The sequence below is a fragment of the Homo sapiens genome, chromosome 9 (assembly GCF_000001405.40).
Source record: "Homo sapiens chromosome 9, GRCh38.p14 Primary Assembly".
In the NCBI taxonomy this organism is placed as follows: domain Eukaryota; kingdom Metazoa; phylum Chordata; class Mammalia; order Primates; family Hominidae; genus Homo; species Homo sapiens.
This window is the reverse complement of record NC_000009.12, coordinates 20,288,490-20,311,483: the sequence shown is the minus strand read 5'-3', so window position 1 is coordinate 20,311,483 and position 22,994 is coordinate 20,288,490. Positions and strand designations below refer to the sequence as shown.

At 43.1% G+C, this 22,994-nt stretch overlaps 1 protein-coding gene across 1 annotated transcript in view, besides 2 other annotated features; it reads left to right on the top strand.

Annotated features, from left to right (window-relative positions):
* Nucleotides 3,592-22,994, top strand: part of SLC24A2 (solute carrier family 24 member 2) — an 800,438-nt gene continuing 781,035 nt past the window's right edge. Inside the window, exons 1-2 of the mRNA XM_017014592.2 lie at nucleotides 3,592-3,831; nucleotides 10,120-10,258. The gene's annotated coding sequence lies outside the window, so the exon portion shown is untranslated. The remainder of the gene's footprint in view (nucleotides 3,832-10,119; nucleotides 10,259-22,994) is intronic.
* Nucleotides 8,740-9,417: an enhancer, noted in NCBI's record as "OCT4-NANOG hESC enhancer chr9:20302065-20302742 (GRCh37/hg19 assembly coordinates)". NCBI's record gives its function as "activates a minimal SCP1, AML or CMV promoter by ChIP-STARR-seq in naive H9 embryonic stem cells {active_cell/tissue: H9 hESC(naive)}" and the evidence as "EXISTENCE:reporter gene assay evidence [ECO:0000049][PMID:30033119]".
* Nucleotides 20,558-21,059: an enhancer, noted in NCBI's record as "H3K27ac hESC enhancer chr9:20290423-20290924 (GRCh37/hg19 assembly coordinates)". NCBI's record gives its function as "activates a minimal SCP1, AML or CMV promoter by ChIP-STARR-seq in naive H9 embryonic stem cells {active_cell/tissue: H9 hESC(naive)}" and the evidence as "EXISTENCE:reporter gene assay evidence [ECO:0000049][PMID:30033119]".

Sequence of the window (22,994 nt, the reverse complement as noted above, 5' to 3'; positions counted from 1 at the left end):
TAGGGTCCAAGGAACATTGCTGAGAGTTTTTGTGACAAGCTCATGCAATTTGCAGTGAACCAATGGCCACGCTCTCCTGAGACCACTCAGGGGACGGTGGCCTAGCACCACCTAACCCTTTGATGAAGCCTCCAAATCTGATCGTGCGGGCTGCTTTGGGCTTGCTTCCCATAGGATTTGGCATGGCTGGCTTATTTGTAAAATCAGGTAGTCAGTCACAATTCTGAAACCACATAACGCTGGTAGAGTGTTGTTTATTGGCAATTATTGAATTATTTTATTGCCTAAACTCAAAACTCTTTAATATGTTTCCTGTCCAAGAAGTGGTCTGATTTAAAAACAAACCACAATTTAAAACAGGGAAGAAAACAAGAGCTCTAGAAATGAACATAAGTTGTTTGAACATTTTATTTCAACCAATGGAGGTAAAGTAGGTAAATTTACTGCTGCATACAATGATTATTAAATCATTTACTTCCCACCATCACTAAATAAATATCTAACAAATAGCTAAAGAACATTCTTTTAAAATAGTACCGAATAATTAGGCTGCTTGGGATTCTTCATCCACTGGACTGCCCTGAGCTTGTCTCATTCATCTTTGTTTTCCCTGTATCATCTCCCAGAGTTCCTGATAAGGCCCGGTGCACAGTAAAGTTTTCTGAAATGAAAGGGGGCAGGTGAGAGTCTTGAATTTTTCCTTGGCATCCAAACAGCTGAGAGATATTTGCACTCTCAGCACAGAATTACCTGAAGGGATCCATCCAATGTGGAAAGCATCCTCTGTTCCATTTGGCCCCTCCAAGAGTTTACAGCAGGAAGAGTCAGATACACAGAGCCCTGCCTTGTGTTTACATTACCCCAGACCAACAGAATAATGTGGTCCGACTTCATTACAGCCTTTATTCCAAGGCTTGAAATCTTGAAAACATCTTTCTGGGTGTATTGGAAATCTTCATGTAGATGCATTTAATGTAATTAGATTCAGCCAGCCTTGGTAGCTCTGGTATGTGTGATGTAATTAGTAAAGCAACTAGTTGAATGAATTTGTACGGCCTCTCGCCCCATTTGGGAGGAGGTGAGATACTGACACACTGTACAGAGACTGTGTAGCTATAAACATTGTCTAGGTTGATTGTCAAAGAAGGCTTGTTCTAATTAAGACTGTGAAATGGCTTCTCTTCCTCTAGCAGAGAGGTTCTCAGTAAATATTTCCTCTGGAATGGAACCTTTCATGTTTGGGCTCCACCCAAAGTGGAATTTAACTTTCTCTAAGTCTTAACATTATGGAGCGGAAAAGGGGTGGGACTGTGAAGTCCTTCCTTCCAATGCAGGAGGTTTAAAAAAAAAAAAAGAATTGAGCATGTAGAGTTTACAAAATGAAATAAAGATTCTTAAGGGTTAAGTAACCCAAAACTAGAAACACCTGGCTGAGTGTTTGGAGACTATGAAGGTGGTGATGATAGTGATGACTTGAGAAGTGATGCCGTTAATCTTACATAGTGTAAAGTTTTTGCCAAGAAATGGCTGCTCAGAGACAGACTGCATGTGTTAGGCAGAATAACAGCCCTCCAAAGATATCCACATCCTAATTCCCAGGAAGTGAGTTTGTTGGGTTACATGGTAGAGGGGCATTGAAGTTGCAGGAGGGGTGAAGGTGCTAATCAGATGACTTTTGATCAGGGAAATTATTGTGGATTATGCTTTTGGATGACATGTAGATAGCAAGGAGAGGTTTACCCAAAGTTAGCAATGGTAGTCATAGGAGGGGAAAGACAATAGGCAGGGATGGTGGTAACAAAGATGTACTTGAAGAGAAGATTGTGGGGAAAATGGGTACGTTGCTAATGGCAATGGCTGATCCAGTGGAAAGGCCACTGGTCAAAGGCCAGAAAGTCTGCTTTGAAGTCTTGGTTTTACCACCTCAACCTACGCCCTCTCACAGCATTAGAATTCTCATTGCAAAAGAGGGATGGTAAGACTTACCCTGCCTCCCAGGATTGTTAGGCTCAAGTGAGAAGCAAGCCTCAGTTATTTGTAAACTGTGATTTTGAATGCATAGCATGGTGTGATACCGCAAACGAGGTTTAAACCTCTGAGACAAGCCAGCTGTTTTCCCTCTGCCTACAACTTCCTTGAATTCTGGCTGATATATTTAAGGGCAACTTTGGAGCCACCAGGTCTGGCTCATAGCTAGCACCACCTAACCCTTTGATGAAGACTCCAAATCTGATCTTGCTGGCTGCTTTGGGCTGGCTTCCCATAGGATTTGCCACGTCTGGCTTATTTGTAAAATCAGCAGAAAATCCACCCCAGCTGGGAGACATCAATTCCCTCTAGCCAGAGCACGTGGCTTCCCTGCAGAGGAGAGACTTGCTTCTTTCTCCAAAGCACTTGGTGTTGGGTCTGAAGTGCCTCCTTCCTCAGTAGGAACTCAGGCAGGTAAACATCCATGAAGCTGGACACTGGGACACAAAGGCACAGTCTTGGTCTCCAAATCTCTCTGCCGTCTGTCGTGGGGAGAATATGAATGGCTTTCTGACTAAAGCCAATGGTGGATGTGGATGACTGTAGCGCTGATGGTGAGTTATGATGTGATAGAAATGAAGCCACCTATCTCGGCAGCCTTGTCTTATAATACCTATATGCCAGCCATCCTGACCTTTCTTTCTCGTCCTCTTCTCTGGCAAGCTTGTTCCAGATCAGGGCTTTTGCACCTCTGCCTGGTGTACCCTCTGTCCAGAATGTTCTGCCTCCAGATCTCCATGTGGCTGCGTCTTTCCCTGATTTGGGCCTTGGCTTGAATGTCATTTCCTCAGACCCAGCATCTCTGACTACTCTGCCAATGGTACCTACTGCCATTCCTGTTACTCGCTTGCATGATTTATTTTCTTCAGGATCCTTATCACTACTGAAATTCTTCATTCTTTATTTCTTTCCAGCCAACCTTGTCCATCTTTTCAGTGCTGTAGCCCCAGAGTCCGGGCATTATAGATCATCAATGCATGTTTGTTGACTGAGCACCTTGTGCCGCTCACCGTGTGCCAGGCACTGCATGCAGTGCCCTATAGACATTCTCAAGGGCTACTCCAGATACTTCTGGGAGAAGGAGTTTGCTCTCCTTGTTTTACAGATGCACTGACAGAGGCCGCAAAGGGCTGAGTGATCTGCCCTAGTTCCCACAGCTGGTAATTAGGGGACCCTGGATTAGAACGGTGTTCCAAGTGGTTGCAACATTTAGAGTGGTAGCTCCCAACTGTGAGCATAAGGACCACACAGCTGAAGGATCCACGGCTTGCAGTCCAGGATGACCACCTGATCACAATTTTTTTAAAGTAGTGCTTCTTGAACTTTAATGTGCATTGCAAATCACCTGGAGACTGTTAACCTGGAGATTTGGATTCAAGGGTGCAGTTAATCTATTGTGGGGCAGGGGGCGTGTCGTGGTGTGGGGTGGGGTGCTGAGATTGTGCATTTCTCACAAGCTCCCAGGTACTGCTGGTGGCCACCCTTTAAGAGCCAGGGCTTAGAGGTTCCTTTGATTTGAGAACTGCATCAGCTATTTGCAGAACAAAGGCAGGATGAGAGGGACCTGGTAAATCTTGTAGTCAAATCAATTGCTGCAGCTGAGCAAAGAGAGCCGCGGTCCCTCCTTCCCTGGGAGAAGCGGATGTTATCCCAGCACCTTCTGCAAGCTGGTCAGGGACCGAGTCCCGGAAACTTGGGTCTAGCATGTGTCTCTGAGCCTAGATTTGGTTTCCAGTTGTGTAGCACTTGGCTGAAGACCAACAAAGGGGCCGAGCCAACTATAGAAAGTCATCTCTTTAAGCAGTAAGTATTTCCTGCCGACCCCTCATTCCTGGACCCCAAGTATAGTTGTCTAACTCTAAACGCCAAATGAGAAGCTTGCTTGGAGTTTAGGAGTTTCTCACAATGCCTACAATTTGCTGGAATTTTCTCATTTAGAGGACAAGTGTAAAATGTCTGCTCTGGTTATATTAGAGGGTTGTTGTTAAAGTGCTTTGAAAAGTAGAAAGCAGCCTTTCCCAAATGTGGGTGGAATTGGTTTTCAGGAGGACAAAGTCGCAGCATTAGGGAATACTAATCACAGAGTGAAGAAGTTATTCTCTCTTCAAGTTTGTTTCAGCTTCTGATTAATTTATAAGAAAGTCTCACTTCAGGACTACTATATCTCAAACACTTCATTTACATGTCCCAATCCCCTTTTTTAAAAGCAGAGAAAGAGGTGGCAAACAGCTGTAACTAGCTAGAATTTAATAATAATTGTTTTTTTGTGTGTACCTTTTTATGGTTACTTTCTATCTGTGACAAATGATATAGATTTTCCATTTAAGATAATTATATAAACCTTCCCTTTAAAGATCGATGTAAACAAAACATAAGATGATTTAAAACATAGTAGGTAAAATTACAGGGTGAATGCAGATATGGTAGAAGTTGTGAGGGTGATATGAAGATGAGTCAGTCTAAGAAAATAACATTAAGATCTGTAATCCCAGCACTTTGGGAGGCTGAGGTGGGAGGATCACTTGAGGTCAGGAGTTTGAGACCAGCCTAGCCAACATGGTGAAACCCCGTCTCTACTAAAAATACAAAAAATTAGCCAGGTGAAGTGGCATACACCTGTAATCCCAGCTACTTGGGAGGCTGAGGCGGGAGAATCGCTTGAACCCAGGAGGCAGAGGTTGCAGTGGACCAAGATCACGCCACTGCACTCCAGCCTGGGTGACAGAGTGAGACTCCGTCTCAAAATAAAAACAAACAAAAAAAGAAAATAACATTAAGGACTGTAAAGGGGTGTAGCTGTGATATTATTCATGGGATGACACAAAGACACCCAACACGGCCCTGCCCAATTAGTGGATGTGCCACCTCCCTGGCTCTGGGCTGGTAATCCCGCCAGAGGGTCCTCAGGCAGGAGATGGAGGTGGATAGTAGCCCCAGGCAAGAATGTGCAGCTAAATCTCAGCCACAGGTTTGCAGAAGCCTTTGGGTCTTTCTCTATTTGTGGAACCTTTTGGGAAAAAATTAAGCAAGACAGCTATATAAAGGCTCAGCATCTTACATTTGCCTGTGGTAGAGACAAATCAATTGCTTTGCTTTGGGCCTTGCCTTGCATTTTTTGTTGTTGTTGTTGTTGTTCACTATTGTTAAAAGAACTATAGTGATTGTAAACAGAAGTTGCCAATTTCGTGGTTATTTTCTAAATCTCATTGCAACAGGCCAAAGGAGTTAAAGAATCATTCTGAATTCCAACACAACATGGGGTAGCTTCCAACATCACAGAGTTGTGTCAGAATCCTGGCTCACCCAGTGCTGTGGGCTGAGTTGTGTCCCTATCCAATTCATACATTGAAGTCTTAACCCCTAGTACCTCAGAATAATGTGACTGTGTTTGGAGATAGGGTCTTTAAAGAGGTTAGTTATTTAAACCGAAGTCATTGGAGTAGGCTCTAATCCAGAATGACAGGTATCCTTAAAAAAAGGACACAGACACACAGAGAAAAGACCACGTGAAGGCAGAGGGAGAAGATGGCCATCTATAAGTCAAGGAGAGAGGCCTCTGAAGAAACCAACCCTGCCCACAACTTGACCCCAGACTTCCAGCCTCTGGGACTGTGAGAAATACATTTCTGTTGTTGAAGCTGCCCAGTCTATGGTACTTTGTTAAGGCAACCCTGGCAAACCAATTCAGCCGCTTGCCATTGGGTGGTCTTGGTTAATTGCTTGACATCTTGGAGCCTCAATGTCCTCATCTATATACTGGGATAATGCTATTGACTTCGCAGAGTTATATGCTCAAATATGCTGACGTATGTGAAATACTTAGCATAGTCTCTGCTAGACTCTAGATACTGAATATGGATAACTATTTTTATTTACTTAGAGATCAGTCTCCCTTCCCCTCCCATTTTGAAGAGTTTAAGACAAAAACGACAGCTGTTATTGCTACCTCCTGACCTACATCTTTTAAAGATGTTAATTGCTATTATAAAGCCTTTAACAGATAGGTAGTCATCTACACTGACTCCTTGGTAACTATTAAAATGGTATTATCGGCTGGGCGCGGTGGCTCATGCCTGTAATCCCAGCACTTTGGGAGGCCGAGGGGGTCGATCATGAGGTCAGGAGATCGAGACCATCCTGACCAACATGGTGAAACCTCATCTCTACTAAAAATACAAAAATTAGCCAGGCGTTGTAGCACACACCTGTAATCCCAGCTACTCAGGAGGCTGAGGCAGGAGAATCACTTGAACCTGCGAGGCAGAGATGCAGGGAGACGAGATTGTGCCACTGCACTCCAGCGTGGTGACAGAGCAAGACTCCATCTCAAAAAAAAAAAAAAAAAGGTATTATCCTATTTGGTAGAATCCGCTTTCTTTAACATGCATGTCTTTAAATAACTTTGTGCTAAATGGTGTTTTCCATATCCAATCCACTCTCCAGTGTGGGTATATGAAGTGGGGAGTCATTTAAGTAGTTGGATAGAGGCATGGTATGATCATAAGACTCATTGTGGGCTGGTGGACACCGAGACTGGCAGTAGGGTTGCTGGGCAGTTACTGTCGTGACCCAGGTGAGCTCATACGTGTCTCTGGGATCCCACCTAGGACTATGTCCTTGCTCTGCTGCTTATTATCCCTGAGACTTTAGGCAAGTTACTTGTTTCTTCTCTCTCTAGCTTGGTTTCCTCCTCTATAAAATAGAGAAGTGAAAATAGTCCAGGGCTATCTCATTTTATATAAGGATTGTGTTCCTGGAGACCCAGCATAATTCAAACAAAATGTACATATTTAAATCAAGAGTAATTTACCTATAAGAATAAGCATATACTGGGTTTTATGTTTATTCTGATGGGTAAAGTAGGCTTTACATTATTTTTATACCTTTAACTTTGTACCTTTCTGTGTGATTGAAACTTTCCAAACTTACGCATGTGTTTTATATAAAATACCAATGAGAATTATTTGGCTGTTAAAAGTCTTTTTTTAAACAGAAAATTATCTCTATCTCTGTATTTTTAAGTACTTTAAAACAATTTTGAAAATGTGTTTATTACAATGGACTCTTTCTAAATATCTTCTTTACCCTTCAAAAAAAGATCACTCAGGCCAGATGGTCAGTTTCCCTCTGTGCTTTATAAGCCCTTTGCAGAATCCGCTCCCGGGGCTGTGGGATGAGAGTTTAGGAAGGGGGCTGGGGGTGGGTTGGCAGTGAGGGACAGAGCATCCAGCAGTGAAATAGTTAACCTGCCTGCCACTGAAGTGGAGAGACCCAGCTTGAGGCAATCCTGTGTGAGGCAGCAATAAATTCAAGCCAGGTTTTCAGAGTGGAAACTGAAGCTAGCCTCTTTAATCAGATATTTCAGAGTCACTCAGCATAAAACCCAAGACTAACGAATTAGTACTTGGAACTGTTTTATAGCTATGTCATGAAATGTAGCTGAGATTCTCAGTGGACTTGGATACACCTTATGTGGTCACTGTCACTTAGGGACCGTAAGGCTGAAGGTACTTTCTTCCCAAGTCTTGCCCCATCCAAACCTCCAAAGCATAAGATGCACAGCACCCACTGAGCTGAGAGCCCCCTGCCCTGTCTGCATGTTAGCTTCAGATAAGATGCAAAGACTAGGAACACAGTGAGGTTTTGCCGCTAGGTTGTCCCTACTTAAGAAAAGCATTGCCTGTGTCTCTATTAAAAATAAAATGAACCCTTCTGGTGGCAAAGTTCAATTAAATTTCAAGATATGGCTACAGTCAGGTGGAGGAAAGACTTCTACTCTTGAAGGAGGTAATAATTGGGCAGCTAAGGGTTGGACGATCTTCAAGGCTCTGGTGCAAATGTCTCTTGCTTGATTGTTTTGGCAAACCTCCAGTTATTGGAAGTATCCCTGGCTGTATGGGCTGGGGGCTATCATCTTTTGTGGCCCTTAAACTATGCTGTCAGAACGTGGGAACTAGATTACTTCATTCTGCTCCTGGGAAAGGGAACAGACTTGTGGGATTTAAAATGAATACGTTAAATTTGTTGATTATCAAAGGGAAAAATAGAGAAAAATAAATAAACTCTTACAAGATCTTGGCTGAAGTACAGGGGCCAAAGTTTAAATCCTTGCTCTCAACCATGTTAGGATTTTGTAAAAGACCTTCAATTTTCCCTCCCAATTCACTCAGGTGGGAGGAGGGATGTACCCTTTGGAGGCCCCTGTTTCCCCTCAGGGTTCTTTTTTAATGTAAATGGAATGGTAAGAAGAGGGATAGTAACTGTACTCCCGTGATGCATGAAAAAGGGCAGCAGCCTTATGATGAATTTTTCCTTTTTTTTAAAGAAAAAAAATACAGATATATCTATGTATCTTAGTAAAAAATATTTTTAAAAGTGTGATAAGATGGATATTGTCACATGCAGGTAAGAGGGTAAAGTGGTACTTTTGGGGATGGAAGTTTAGCAAAATATATCAGATACTCTAACAAGATTGAGACTCCATTTCTCTTTTAGGAATTTATCCAAAGGAAATAATCCAAAAAGTGCACAATTATCAATATGCTGTCATTGCATTGTTTACAGTAGTGAAAATCTCAACCTCAATGTTGATCATATGGGAAATAATTGGTTATATTAATGTTGGTTCAGCCCCACAGTGGTATCATCCTTGGCAATTAAAAATAAATGACAACACCACCAAAGGCACAATCCATGAAAGAAATAATTGATAAGCCAGACTTCATTAAAATTAAAAACTTCTGCTCTGTGAAAGACATAGTCAAGAGAATGAGAAGACAAGCCATAGACTGGGAGAATATATTTGCAAAAGGCAGTCTGATAAAGGACTGCTATCCAAAAGAAAAGTATAAAAAAAACTCAACACCAAAATATGAAAATAACCTGATTAGAAAATAAGCCAAAGATCTCAACAGACACCTCACCACATAAGATATACAGATGGCAAATAAGCATATGAAAAGAAGTTCCACATCACTGTCATTAGGGAAATGCAAATCAAAACAATGAGATACCATTACATACCTATTAGAATGACCAAAGCCCAGAACACTGACAACACTAAATGCTGACAAGGATGGGAAGCAACAGGAGCTCTCATTGATTGCTGGTGTGGGTGCAAAATATAACAGTATGGCCATTTGGGAAGACGGTTTGCCAGTTTCTTACAAAACTAAAAATATGCTTACCATACAGCCCAGCAACTGAGCTCCTTGGTAGCTACCCAAAGGAGCTGAAAATTGTACAAAAACCTACACACAGATGTTAATAGCAGCTTTATTCAGAATTGCCAAAAACTTGGAAACAGGATATCTTTCCATAGGTGAATAGATAAATAAACGGTGGTATGTCCATGCAATGGAATATTATTCAGCGTTAAAAGTAAATGAGCTGTCAAGCCATGAGGAAACTTAAATGCATATTACTAAGTGAAAGAAGTGAGTTGTAAAGTCTATATAGTGTATGATTCCAACTCTATGACATTCCGGAAAAGGCAAAACTGTGAAGACAGTAAAAAGACCAATGGTTGCCAGGGTTTAGCGAGGAGGGAGAGGTGAATAGGCAGAGTACAGAGGGGTTTTAGGGCAGTGAAAGTACTCTGAATGATACTATAATAGTGGATACCTGTCATTAATACATTTGTTCTGACCCACAGAATGTACAACACCAAGAGTGAACCCTAATGTAAACCATGGACTTTGAGTGATTATGATGTGTCAACATTGGCTGACAGTTGTAACAAATGTACCACGCTGGTGGGGGATGTTGATAATGGAGGAGGCTCTGCATGTGGGGGTGCATGGAGTATATTGGAAATCTCTGTACCTTCCTCTCAATTTTGCTGTAAACCTAAAACTGCTTGAAAAAAAAAAAAGGCTTTAATTTCTTTTAAAGTCTTCATCTCTTACTATGATACCCTGAGCATTTCCCCCAATGTCTTTAAGGGAAAAGAAGCTGGAAATAAAAGGGTAAATGTGTGGTAATGACAGCTTTGTGAAAGTATACACATAGAAGGGGAGAAATGCAGCAAAGTCATGTCTAGGTGGTAGGGTTATGGTTAAAATAATTATTTTCTTTTACATTTTTTCCAAGGTTTTCAAGATTGAACCTATACCATTTTTATAATAAGAAAAAAAAATGTACTCCCCAGACAACAATGGATGTGAAGCAATTGCCAGTCTTCAGCCTGTGAGACAAAGGGGGACTAAGAGCATGTTTACTTGCTTGGAAGGTAGGACTTTTAACCAATGTTTCTTTCACCTGCCAAAGGCTGAGAAGCCAAGAAGATACTGGAGGTAGAGCAAAGTGTGTGCCTTTGTGTTTTTGCTCTTGTTTGCTTGGGGAGCAATGTGCCTTTGTGGCCTCTTCAGGTGGGAGAAGAGGTAGAGGAAGAGCTCCTCCAGTTTTTAATCCCCTCATCTAATCACCAGACCTTTCTTGTGGTTTTCCTGGGACTCTTTTTACTCAATGGATGGATTGACACTGTTTGTGTGTGTATGTTGTACTTGGATTATGCCTTAATGTGTCACGATGATGACAAAAGGGTTTGCAACAGCAGGCAGGCAAATGTCCCTGCTTTTAATAGAAAGCACATTCCAGCACTTTATATTATCTGTAACACATAGAGCTGCTTAGAACAAAGCATTGCCCCTAAGACATGGTCCCCAAGAGTCTTTAATAAGTTCCAGACCTCTGTGAAGGTATTAATTAAATATTTTAAATAGAATGACTTTAGCTGGCTGGGGCATTTTTATGAGAGAAGGGAGTATATTTAAAACCAGGGCCGTTTCTGTAACAGGAGCTTGTTTTGAAGGAAATGTTCTTGGGTGGGGACTCTATGGGTACCAGGCTGTCAAATCTATGGGCCAACTTGATGTCAAAAACAGACATTCTGGATGTTTCAAACAATATTTGAATTGGGTCCTTGCTGCAGAATTTGGACATAATTCTGAAGCATGATTTTAACACAAAGGGGAGAATAGTAAGAGTCTATGGGTATACCAGGCACTGTTAGAGGTAGTTTCTCACAATAGTTCCATGAGAAGGGCTTTGACAAGGCCATTTTATAGAAAACAAACAAACAAAACCTAAGTGACTATTTTTCAAAGTCACAAAGTTTGATGGAGGAGCTCAATTAAAGTCTGTCCAATAAACTCAAAGTCTGTCCAATAACTAAAAGATATAATTGGATTGTTTTTAACACAAAGGATAAATGCTCAAGGGGATAGATACCCCATTTTCCAAGATGTAATTACCATACATGGCATGCCTGTATCAAAACACTTCATGTACCCCATAAATACATATATACCTACTATGTATCCATAAAAATTTTAAAAAAGTCTGTCTGCCCATCTATCCAACCATCATCTGTGTATTTACATATGCATTTTTCTACCTATCCATCTTCTATATTTCAGAATACTTTACTCTTTCTCAGGAAGTACTAGAAATAAAGATAAGCTTAAAAAGCAGATCCTGGTCCAATTGATAGACATTTCCTGAATTCAAAGTCATCAGAGTTATTGAATACTGTGTAGAGTCTAGAAGCACAGAGTTAGCTGATTTTTCTAGAAGGCAGCATGATGTAGTGAAAAGAGCAATGCACTTGGAATAAGAGGTCCAAGTTTGGATCCTGGCTCTGCCACTTATGGATATCTGTGACATCGAGCAAGTTTCTCCCTGAACGAGTTTCTTTGTCTCCAAAATTAGAATTGCATTTAGCATAGTGCCTAGTAGGTGACCAGGGAAGGCAAGTTAAACCTGAATTTGGTCCTAGTAGTGGGGGTAAGGAATAGGGAGAGGATTGTCCTTGAGTCCTTCATGGATCACTCTGGGTCTTCAGGAATCAGCAGTCCAATGGATTCATAAGGAACCTCCCCTTCCTGGCTAATGATAGCCAAAGTAACAAACTGGGGTAGAGTCACTCCCAAATGAGACATTGGAGCCCCCTCAAGGGAGTGATCATGTTCGATGGGCATCACAAGCATGGCAGGAAATGATTGATGCTGCTTTGGCTTCTTCCTGGATTCACTTCATTCCAGAGCCTGTCAATCCACTTCTTGGCATGAACAGCCCTTCTTGGGACCACCCTTAGTGTATTCCCACCTGCTCGAGAGCTCTATCCTTCTTCATGTCCCCAAGCTCCTTTCCCACATGCTATGTTGCCTCATACATGGAACCTTTGAATCCCTAAATAAAATAGGTATTCACATCTGTGAAGATCCTTTGTGACCTGGGACCCAGGGCTGTGTGCACGAAAGGGCTAATTTTTATTATTCCTTTAATGGGCCTGCCCTGCCTGCTCCTGCTCCCTCTCTATGAATCTTCAGAAGCCTCCAAGCTTTCCCATCTAGCCATTCTTGCTTATTTATCTCAAGACCTCAAATTGTCCTTCTCTGCTTTATTTGGGGAATGACTCTATGGGACTGTTGTATATACATCCCGACCCCCAAACCATCTCTCAGACCCTCCATGGCCGCATGTCCTCTAGGATCCTCCCTGTTCAGCACAGGTCTGTAGATGAGCTATTAAGAACTTAGAGTCATATGAGCCTCAGTCTGCCCCAACTAGCTGAGTGGGCTCTAGTAAGGAGAAGGGCAAAGGAAATGAAGAGCATAGGGGATAACTCACTACCTTTTTACCTCTCTCCTGCTGCTCAACTCTCTTGCCTCAGATCCTCATTTCTAAAATGAAGATAGTAGTTGTATCTTCCTCAGTGCTGTTTGGAAAGATTAAATGACTTAGTACATACAAAGCACTTAGTGTAGTGTTTAGCCCACAGGCTGCTGCTATTACTATTATGGCTGCTAATAGAAATCATTGGAAACATGATGATTTGAGATAGAACATTGTATATTAGGAAGAACGTATCTAGTTTTAAATCTAAGCTCTCTCACTTTAGTGTGTATGAAAATTAGTCTTTCTGGACCGGGTGCGGTGGCTCACGCCTGTAATCCCAGCACTTTGGGAGGCCGAGGCAGGCCGATCACCTGAGGTCAGGAGTTCAAGACCAGCCAGGCCAACGTGATGAAACCCCGTCTCTACTAAAAATATAAAAATTAGCTGGGCATGGTGGCGCGTGCCTGTAATCCTGGCTACTTGGGAGGCCAAGGCAGGAGAATCGCTTGAACCTGGAAGGTGGAGGTACAGTGAGCCGAGATAGCTCTGCTGCACTCCAGCCTGGGTGGCAAGAGTAAGACTCCATCTCAAAAAAATAAAAAAGAAAATTAATCTTTCTGAACCTCAATTTCCTCACACTCACAATGGACATAATAATCACTTGCTCACAGATCTGTGGGAATGTAAAGTCTCTGGGACTGTGCCTGGCACTGTCTGAGCTTCATGGGTATCAGTCACCTAGTTCTGTGGCTGTCCTGCCTGCTGTTGCTCCCTGCTGCCTGCTCCATACAGCCCTGGGGGTGCTGCTTCCTTATGGAGTTTGCCTCCACCAGTGCTTGGAGTGGGAGCATGCAAGGCAAGCCAGCCAAGGAGGGTTAAAATCAGGGAATATTGTGTACTTGAACTGACAGTGATTCACAACATGTCTGCACAGATTGCTCAGAGTCTAGGCATTTGCCAAAGTTGGGGAGATGGTGGGTGGGGGTGGAGCGTGGGGCTGTGAGCAAAGGATGTTCCGTCCCTGGGAGTATAAACACAGCACTGTCTGTAACCTAAAAAGGTTTGGTTGGGAGGGCCATCAAAGTCTGCTGTGCATTATTTGGACTGTGCTCAGCCTCCTCAAGGAAGCGCCCACGGATCCACCCGTGTTGCATCTGAGAGCTGTCACACGACAGAGTCAGCAGTGCTGGACTCTGCACAGGATTTCTGGCAGCTGCCTAGGTGGGGGCTGCCATTGCCATGGGTCTGTCCCAGACTTGTCACTGTCCCTGAGGCAGGTGGGTCCACCCATCTGGCCAGTGACTAATCAGAGTGAGACCCTTTCCTCATTTACAGTCCACGTGCCAAACCCTTCTTCAGGGCCAGTTTATATTCCTTCCTCCCATCCCACCTTCCCCTGGTTTCCATCCCCTTGGCCTTCAAACTGCAGCCTCGTTTCCTGTTGGCCACCTCACCCTGACCCCTGGAATCTGCTTCTTTGGTCTTCAGGTCTAGTTTCTCTCCTTCATCAGGGTTAATGTGTAAAATGGATGATGCTGATCCAGGTTTGGGTCCTAACCTGGATTTTGAGGCTCAATCTGTAACCTTCCCTTCAGGTTTTCCTGGAGCACAGTAGCACCTGGACAGTCTGACTGGCACATTGGTCATGAGGATGTTCTTTGGAATGGGACAGACCTGGGTTTGAATCCTTGCTCTCCCACTTGTTGGTGGGTTTAGGTCATAATACCAAAGGACACAATTCCAAACACCATAATCCTGAATGTTGAAACCCCAAAAGATCAAAATTCCTAGTCCAAAATCCCCAAAATATAATTCTGGAAAAAATAAAAATTCTTTAAAATAAATGTATTTACATTTTAAAAGGGGGATTTATTTGAGAAGCATAAAAGAATGACAGCATACTTCATAGACTGCTTTACAGAACAGACTAGTTAATAATAACGTGCATATTTTTGCAAGCATAAACAGTCAGGTGTACTAACAACAGTCATGAGAGCATAACAGTTATGAACTGTATACATGAAGAAATAGGTCAGAAAGTGAAATTTATAAATGCATACCACTATGATTGGCAATTCTGTACACCCAGCTTTATAACTGTGGTCATCTGAAATACCATGATGGGCAACCTCAATCTTTTGACGAGAGCAAACAAAAACCACAGTGGGTCACCACTGCATATGCAGTCACCCGAAGAATTGGGACTTCAAGAAATCATATCTTTCACAAATGCAGATGTGCAAAGAGAGGTCCTTTTTGTACATCTGCATTGTGAAAGATAAATTCTTTACATCTTCATTTACTGAGGAAGTTTCAACATTTTTTACATACATGCATAGTGCTTACACACAAAGTCAACATTGTGAATAAAGCACTTTCTTGGTGTCCATTTTTTATAAAAAATGTCTAAAATGAATTAGAGCTCTCTAAAAGTCTTTGTGCAATTTATATCACCAGTACTAGAAATGATGCAAAGATAAAACTCATAGCATAGCCAATTGGCACTATGTGTGAAGGGGCAGAAGTTGTATACAATAGAATAATTTGGCAGGGGAGATTTCTTGTGTTTTTCATTTGTTTTCACATCTTTGAGTTTGGAAACACTCGCTGCACTTTTATTTGGAGAATAGTTGTGGTCTATACATTTCGTAAGTATATGCCGTCCATCTGAGAGTCTGGATATTGCTTGGCTATTGCAATTAGGTGATTTTCTGCTTTTGCAGCACCAGTAATAATTAGTTTTAAACTTTTATCTTTCACCATTAAGTAGCCTCACACAATTAAATTAGAGGGAACAACTTTCACAGATCTCTTCCATTATGTTGTAAGGAATGCAGTAAGAAAGAACAATATCTGATTTCCCCAATACAAAATTTATATTAGTCAGGGTTCTCCAGAGAGATAGAACCAAAAGGATATAGATTTAGATATATAAGAAGGGATTTACTGGGGAATTGTCTCACGCAGTTATGGAGGCTGAGAAGTTCCATGATAGGCAACCTGTAAGCTGGAGACCCTGGGATGCTGGCAGTGTGGCTCTGTGCAAGTTCAAAAGCCTTAGAACCTAGAAAGCAGATGGTGTAACTCTCTGTCCAAGGTCAAAAGCCTCAGGACCCAGAGTGCCACTGGTGTAAGTCCCAGAGCTCAGAGCCTGAATTTCTGATGTCCAAAGCAGCAGAAGAAATATTTCTCTCAGCTTCAGTGGAAGACCAGTTCACCTTCTGTATCTGTTTGTTCAGGGCCTTTGGCTGATTAGACAGTGCCTGCCAACACTGAGGGCACATCTTCCTGCCTAGTTCATTCACACTCACACACTAATCTCTGGAAACACCCTCACAGACACACCCAGAATAATGATTTACCAGGTTTCTAGGTATTCCTTAATTCTGTCAAGTTAGTACTTAAAATTAAGTCCACAAATCCACTCCTTGTCCACTTGGCACCCTTAAACTATACTTAATTTCTAAACAAAGACACTAACAAGGTAATAGTTTGCCTAAGATGATGAAACTAATATGATGCAGCTCTGTGTACAACTGAAAATATACTAATCTCTCCCCTAGGATTCTGCTTTCAAGATTTCAACATTTGGTATTTTAATCTTTCAGGATTGTGATTTTGGGGATTTTAGAGATTAGGGATTTTAGATGTTAGGAATTTTAGACTTTAGGGATTTTGATCTTTAGGGATTTTGACATTCTGGATTGTGGCATTTGTGACTGTATCTCTTGAGGTTGCAATACACACTGTGTATGTGTGTGTGTGTGTGTATGTGTGTGTGTATATATATATATATATACATATATACACATATGCACAGATACAGATATGTTTTGTGGTTTTATCTTATTATTTATTTATTTATTTATACCTGATCTAAAATGGGTGTGCTTAGTAAATGACAATTTGAGTTTTGCCAGTATCTGAGTAGAGTGGTACAAATGTGACCTGAGGTTTGGGAAAGGAAGAGCTCAGGCTTGTAGGAACATGACCTTTGATGTTATACCAATGTTGGGTGGCCATTTGTACTGTGCTTCTGTCACCAACGTGCACTTGTGAGGTTGAGGATGGTGCCTTATTTCTCTTTTGTCTTTTGTGCCTGAAATATCATATTTGCCAGCAAATATTTATTGAATTAAACCAACTTCATTTTCAATTAGTACTGGTTTCTTCTTTAAGGAAATCACTAAGTGATTTCTGATGTCTTTAAAAGAACTGAAGGGCCTATACTCAAGTTTTTCTCTAATACAGAGTTGTCATTTTCAACATGTATCTTAAGAAAGCATTGAGTCAGCAGAACTGAAGAACTGGGGCTTTGAGGGAAGAGTTTGAATTATTTCTGAGACAAGAAAGAATGCCACGTTTCCTAAAATGCAGCAGCAGCTCTGCCCAGGCTGGTTAGTTGAGTGGAGCAAGCTAACGAGCTTGCCTCATGGGGAGTTGGGAAGCAACAATCAGCCCCTTTGAAATAATTCCTTCCTAGGGCGGGAGGTATTCCAATATTACCATTGTCACCGTGATGAGCAGTCACGTGGAGAAATGTGGCAGGGTTGGGTTGTGCCTGACTCATTCTCATGGCTTCTCTGCATTCAGGAAAGAGGGTCCATGGGAGACTAGGCCAGCAGGGTGCAGCCTACAGATATGGGATCTGTACTGCACTACAGGGTGTGGCTGTGCCTGGGGTAGCAGGCTGCTGATGTGCCATTCCAGGAGGGAAGCTGGTGCTTCAAAGTCCAGGAAACAAAACAAGAAGATGATGGTCTAGGAGAAAAGATGGCGCAGTGGAGGTCATGATGAGCAAATGTACAAGCAGTGGGGGTCCTTGTCAGGGTAAAGATGGGCTGGCCAGAGATACACGGAATGGGAGTCAGGGCCTCATTGTCCAGGCTCAGGGTGTCTGCCATAGCATCCTTCTTGTGTGGAGCCTGAGGACTTGGTTGGCTTACTATGTGAAGTTAAATGGACTGATCTCTGCTGAAGAAAGGACTAAGGGGGTGGGAGTGGACATTGTACTAAATAAATGTCTTCAAATATCTCTAGGAGGACCCCTTGTAGAAAGCAAATTGACAACAGAAAATAGAAGGGTTGGGGAAGGGATGGTATTCTTGACAACCTCTGGAGTTTCATAGTGAGTGTCATAGATCATAGGAGATGAGCAAAGATAATACTTGTGTATTTGTGCAGAAACCCCGCCCAGTGAAGGGTATGTGCATACTTGAGCCAGAAGGCCAAGAAGGCTCTGCCATCCCCTTTGACCAGAGTGAGGGTGGTAATAACAGTGCTTCCTTAGGAATACCTCAAGGTAGGGGAGGATCCAAATGAGCCCCTGGGCTTTTTTGGCCACAGCCAGCCAATCTTGCAGTTAGGATTTGACCCCAAGGACCAGTCATAGGGGTTCCCTACAATGACACCAAATCCACTCTGCCTCCCTGAGAAATTCCTAGAGTGGAAACCTAGGTGTGAAGAGATGAGAGAGGTCAGGGAAGGAATCTCTTAGATGAGGCCCTCTTTGGGAGCCAACCCTACCTTTCTGGGAGAAGGAACAGGGAAATGTGGGAGTGTTAGGTGTTGAGTTGTGTCCCCTTAAAAAGATATGTTGAAGTCCTAATCCCTAGTGTCTCAGAACTTGATATTATTTGCAAATAGAGTTGGTGTCGATGTAATTATTTAAGAAGAGTTTATACAAGAGTAGGACTGGTCCCTAATCCAATATGACTAATGTCCTTATAAGAAGAGTCAGGAGAGACACACAGGGGAAATGCCATGTGAAGATCAAGGCAGAGATTGATGTTATGCAGTGACAAGCCAAGGAACGCCAAAGATTGCCAGCAAACCACCAGAAGCTGGGAAGAGGCAAGGAAGGTTTCCCTTACAGGTTTCTGAGAAGGCCTGGCCCTGCTGATCCCTTGATTTTGAACTTCCAGCCTCCATAACTGTGAGACAGGGCCAGGTGTGGTGGCCTATGCCTATAATCCCTTTGGGATTTGGGAGGCCAAGGCAGGAGGATTGCTTGAGCCCAGGAGTTTGAGACTAGCCTGGGCAAGGTGGGGAGACCCCATCTCTACAAAAAATAAAGGAATTACCTGGGCTTGGTGGTGCATGCCTGTGGCCCAGTGAAGTGAAAGGATCACTTGAGCCCAGGAGGTCAAGGTTGCAGTGAGCTGTTTGTGCCATTGCACTCCAACCTGAGTGACAGAACGAGATACTATCCCAAAAACAAAACGAAACAAAAAACAGAACCGTAAGACAACGAATTTCTGTTGCTGAAGCCACCCAGTTTGTGGTACTTTGTTACAGCAGCCCCAGCACGTCAATACAGATAGCTAAGGGAGAATCAGTATGTTTGTGTTTCTGAACTATTTATTATGACTTTAAGTTCTCAAGTGAATTGGAGACTTAAGAAGGCGTATATGTGACTTACCTCATCTTTTCTCCCTACTCTTCTCTTCACCTTCTTTTTTCCCTCTCCTACATTTCTTTCTAAACAGATAAAATCTTATACTTAAAACGAGACTATTAGTGGAATAAAGATTTCCATGAAAGTGATTGATTCTGTAATAACATTCCAGTCTGATGACTTCATTTCTGTTATTCCCATTGTATCATTCCCCAGGAAGACACCAACTATCTGGGAGACAGAGGTACTGCAGTCAGTTTCCCCCTGCACAAGCAAGTCGTTTTTTGATTGGCTGGCTCCAGCATCGTGTCAGTACCCTCTGCTGTGTTGCGGTTGGGTGTGTAGAAACACAACACCCCAGCCTTTGCATCCAGGAGTCCAGTGCAGGCTGGCAGGACTTAATTCTGACAATTCAATGATTTGACCCAATTTTCCACCTGACACCCTTTCTAGTCTCCATATTGGCTTTTGAAATGGCCCTGCTTTTCCTTCCTGCCCCCTTCACTCCCTCCATTTTCCCCACCCAGAGCATAGCATCCTGCCTTGTTCCTCTCCAGTCCTTCCACCACAGGGTGATTTTCCTAGGTGCATTCTGATCATGTTGCTTTGACCATGAATCATGTCAAAAATGGCCAGTGGCTCTTCTTGATCCCTAGATCTGCTACAAAGTCCACATCTTTGTTACGTTCAAGATCCTCCATAGTTGTCATTCAAGATCCTCTATAATATATCCCCAAATTATTTTAGTGCTCCAGCGTCCAGGAAACAAAACAAGAAGGTGATGGCACAGTGGAGGCCACGATGAGCAAATGCACAAGTGGTGGGGGGTCATCATAAGGGTGAAGATGGGCTGGCCAGAGACACATGGAGAGGGAGTCAGGGTCAGAGCCTCATTCTCCATTTATAAGGTGTCTGCCATAGCATCCTTCTTGTGTGGAGCCCGAGGGAGATGTGAGATGTCATCTCTTGCATCCACTTAAAGCTCCAGACAAATTGGACTATGGACTGTCCCATTACATGGCCCTGATCTCCCCTCTGCCATTTCTTTGTTCATGCCTCTCTGTTTGAAGTGTCTTTGTGTACCTTTCTCCTTTTCATTTCAAATGCCATCTCTCTCTGCAAGCCTTTCTTGATTTCCCCAACCAGAAGCATGTTCTCCTCTTTGAATCCCTTGGCACTCTGTTTTTCTATTTCTCTCCTGGCCCTTCTCTTATGCTCTCCTGTGTTTTCCACGTCCATATTGCTAGCCTTGCTTGCTCTCAGTTGCTTAAGGGCAGGCATTTTTCACTTATTTTGTCCCCCTACTTCTCATCATGACTTCCGTATGCTCCTTGGAGCTCTTCCTCTGTTCATTGTTGATATGTGTGGTTGTACATGTTGTTTATTGCACAAGGACCCCTGGTCAAGAGGGTGAGTGGGGCTGAAATCCAGCCTATGCCCTGCTTGCCAGGTTGTGTACCTTGGTGCAGGGCCATAGCTCCAACTTTTAAAAAATTCTCATGAAGATGCCATATGGGTCAATGCTAGGTGGTCCAGTCCTCTTGAAATCAGCTGTCCTCTACCTTATCTGTGCCTCCTGGGCACAAGGTTGCAATGGCCTCTGAGGACTCCATCCCTTGCCCAGAAGAACCCCACTTCCATTTCTGCCTCTGCCTTTCTCCACAACCCCAAAGTATGCCTGCACTGGACTTCCACAGCTTTCAGATTGTATTTCCATGGTAGCATGTAGGCATCTCAGGCACAGCTCTCTGTAGCATCAAAAACGATTTGTCCCTGCTCTTTCCCCTCACCCTGCAGCAAAAACCTGCAGGAGCTGCAGGTGGTGGCGTCACAACAGCTTAGGATCCAAGAGACTCATTCCAGCCGCTAAAGCGCTAAGCTTTCTCTGTGATCACACATTTTGCACCAGCCAGAGCTCACACATGCCTCTACAGACCCGCGGCCAAAGGCATGTGGATATCAGCAACTGCTTAGAGAAGCTGGCCAAGGCTGGCCTGAAGAGGGGCAAGGGAGGGAGAGCCCAGATTACAGGCAAGATGAGATACATTTGAAACAACTGACAAGAAACTGTACATCAGAAATCAGAACAGCTGTGGGCTCCTCAACATGGCAGATGGGTATGCAGGGAATGCTGTGCAGCTTTAATCACATTTAACACGCCTGTCAGAGAATTGGGTCCATCTTAGTATTAAATCGGGTTTTCTACATTGTTGGTTTGACAGAGTTCAGCCTTATCCTGCTTGCTGCACTCAGTATGGCTAGAACGAAATTGATTTCTGTTCCTTGTTTTCAGCAGAGAATAGCTAGTGCCACTCTGCCGAGCTGGGGAAGTGGTGGGTTTGTGTTGGGGTTGGGTGCAGGGCGAAGAGACCTGTAAGCCACTGTTGTGGCTCAGAGGGCAAGAGCTCAGCCAGGGTTGGGGCAATAGTCCTTAAGGAGTGCGCATCCCAGCCCTGATTTATGAGCACTGTGTGATGCTACAATGTGTGTGTGGCTGTGTGTTTAAATTCTGAATTTTTGAATGCTTCTATGAATGGGAGATTCATAGAAGCGTAGGAAAAAATTCCAATTTTTCCATTCTGTGCCAACCCAGTACACAGTTTCCATTTAGTATTTGCCAAGGAAAATCAACCCTGCTAGTTATAAGCCCTAAGTGTGGCATCCTGATATAACAGGAGGAGGCATTTTGGGGCCTAGTGGATGGGAGTTCAATTCATTTGTTCATTCATCCAGGAAATGTTCATGGAGTGCCAGCCCTGTCAAAGGCCCCGTGCTGCTGGAGACACAAGACAAAAGAGCGCCTGACTCTGGGCCTGACTTTGTCTTCAGTGCTGCTTGTGTAGTTAAACATTGAATAAAAATTCCACAAAGTGGTACTATTTTCATCTGCATTTCACAATGAGAGAACCGAGACTCAGAGAGGTTAATGACTTATCCGAAGGCAGGCAGCAAGAAACGGGGAAGAGCCGGCATTCAAAACTGCACTCCTTTAATTCCTCTTAATAACTCCGGTAACCCTTGTCTTGTTCCCATGGAGAAGAAGGTATGACTGTGGACAAATTGCTTTGTCTTTCTGTGTCTCAATTTTCTTGCATGTGAGGTGGAGGTGATTACAATAATTTATTGGTGAAATGAAAGAGTGCAAGAAGCAAACTCTAAAGCAGGACATAAAACTTAACTGTTACCATGTTTCTGTGGTTATTGCTAAGAAAGAAGCAGTAAGCATTTGCATGCTGTTTCAGTTACTATGGCTGTATCACAAACTGCCCCCTAAACTTAGTGATTTGAACTAATGATGACCTATGTTTTGCTCACAGATCTACAAATTGCTCAGGGCTCTGTAGGGACAGGTTGCCTGCATCACTTAATGTCAGCTGGGGTGACTGAATTATCTTCAGTGGCTGAAGATAATTCCAGCCACTGAAATCTAGTGGCTGGAATTATCTGAAGGCTCTGACTCAGGGACTTGTCTGGTGGTTGATGCCGGCTGTCAGTTGAGACATTCTCTGATGCTGTCAGCTGGAACACCTACATATGACCTCTTCATGTGGCCTGTGCTTCCTGCCAACATGGCAGCTGAACTGTACTGAGGATGAGCATCCTAGGAGACAGCCAGAGCTAGGCAGAGAGGTAACGTAGCCTGGGAAGTTGCATTGTGTCTCTTCCATTGCATTCTTTTTTTTTTTTTTTTTTTTTTGAGACAGAGTCTCACTCCATCAGTGGCACAATCTCTGCTCACTGCAACCTCCGCCTTCCAGGTTCAAGTGATTCTTGTGCATCAGCCTTCCAAACAGGCATGTGCCACCATGCTTTGCTAATTTTTTGTATTTTTAGTAGAGATAGGTTTTCGCCATATTGGCCAGGCTGGTCTCAAACTCCTGGCCTCAAATGATCCACCTGCCTTAGCCTCCCAAGATGTTGGGATTACAGGCATGAGTCACCGCACCTG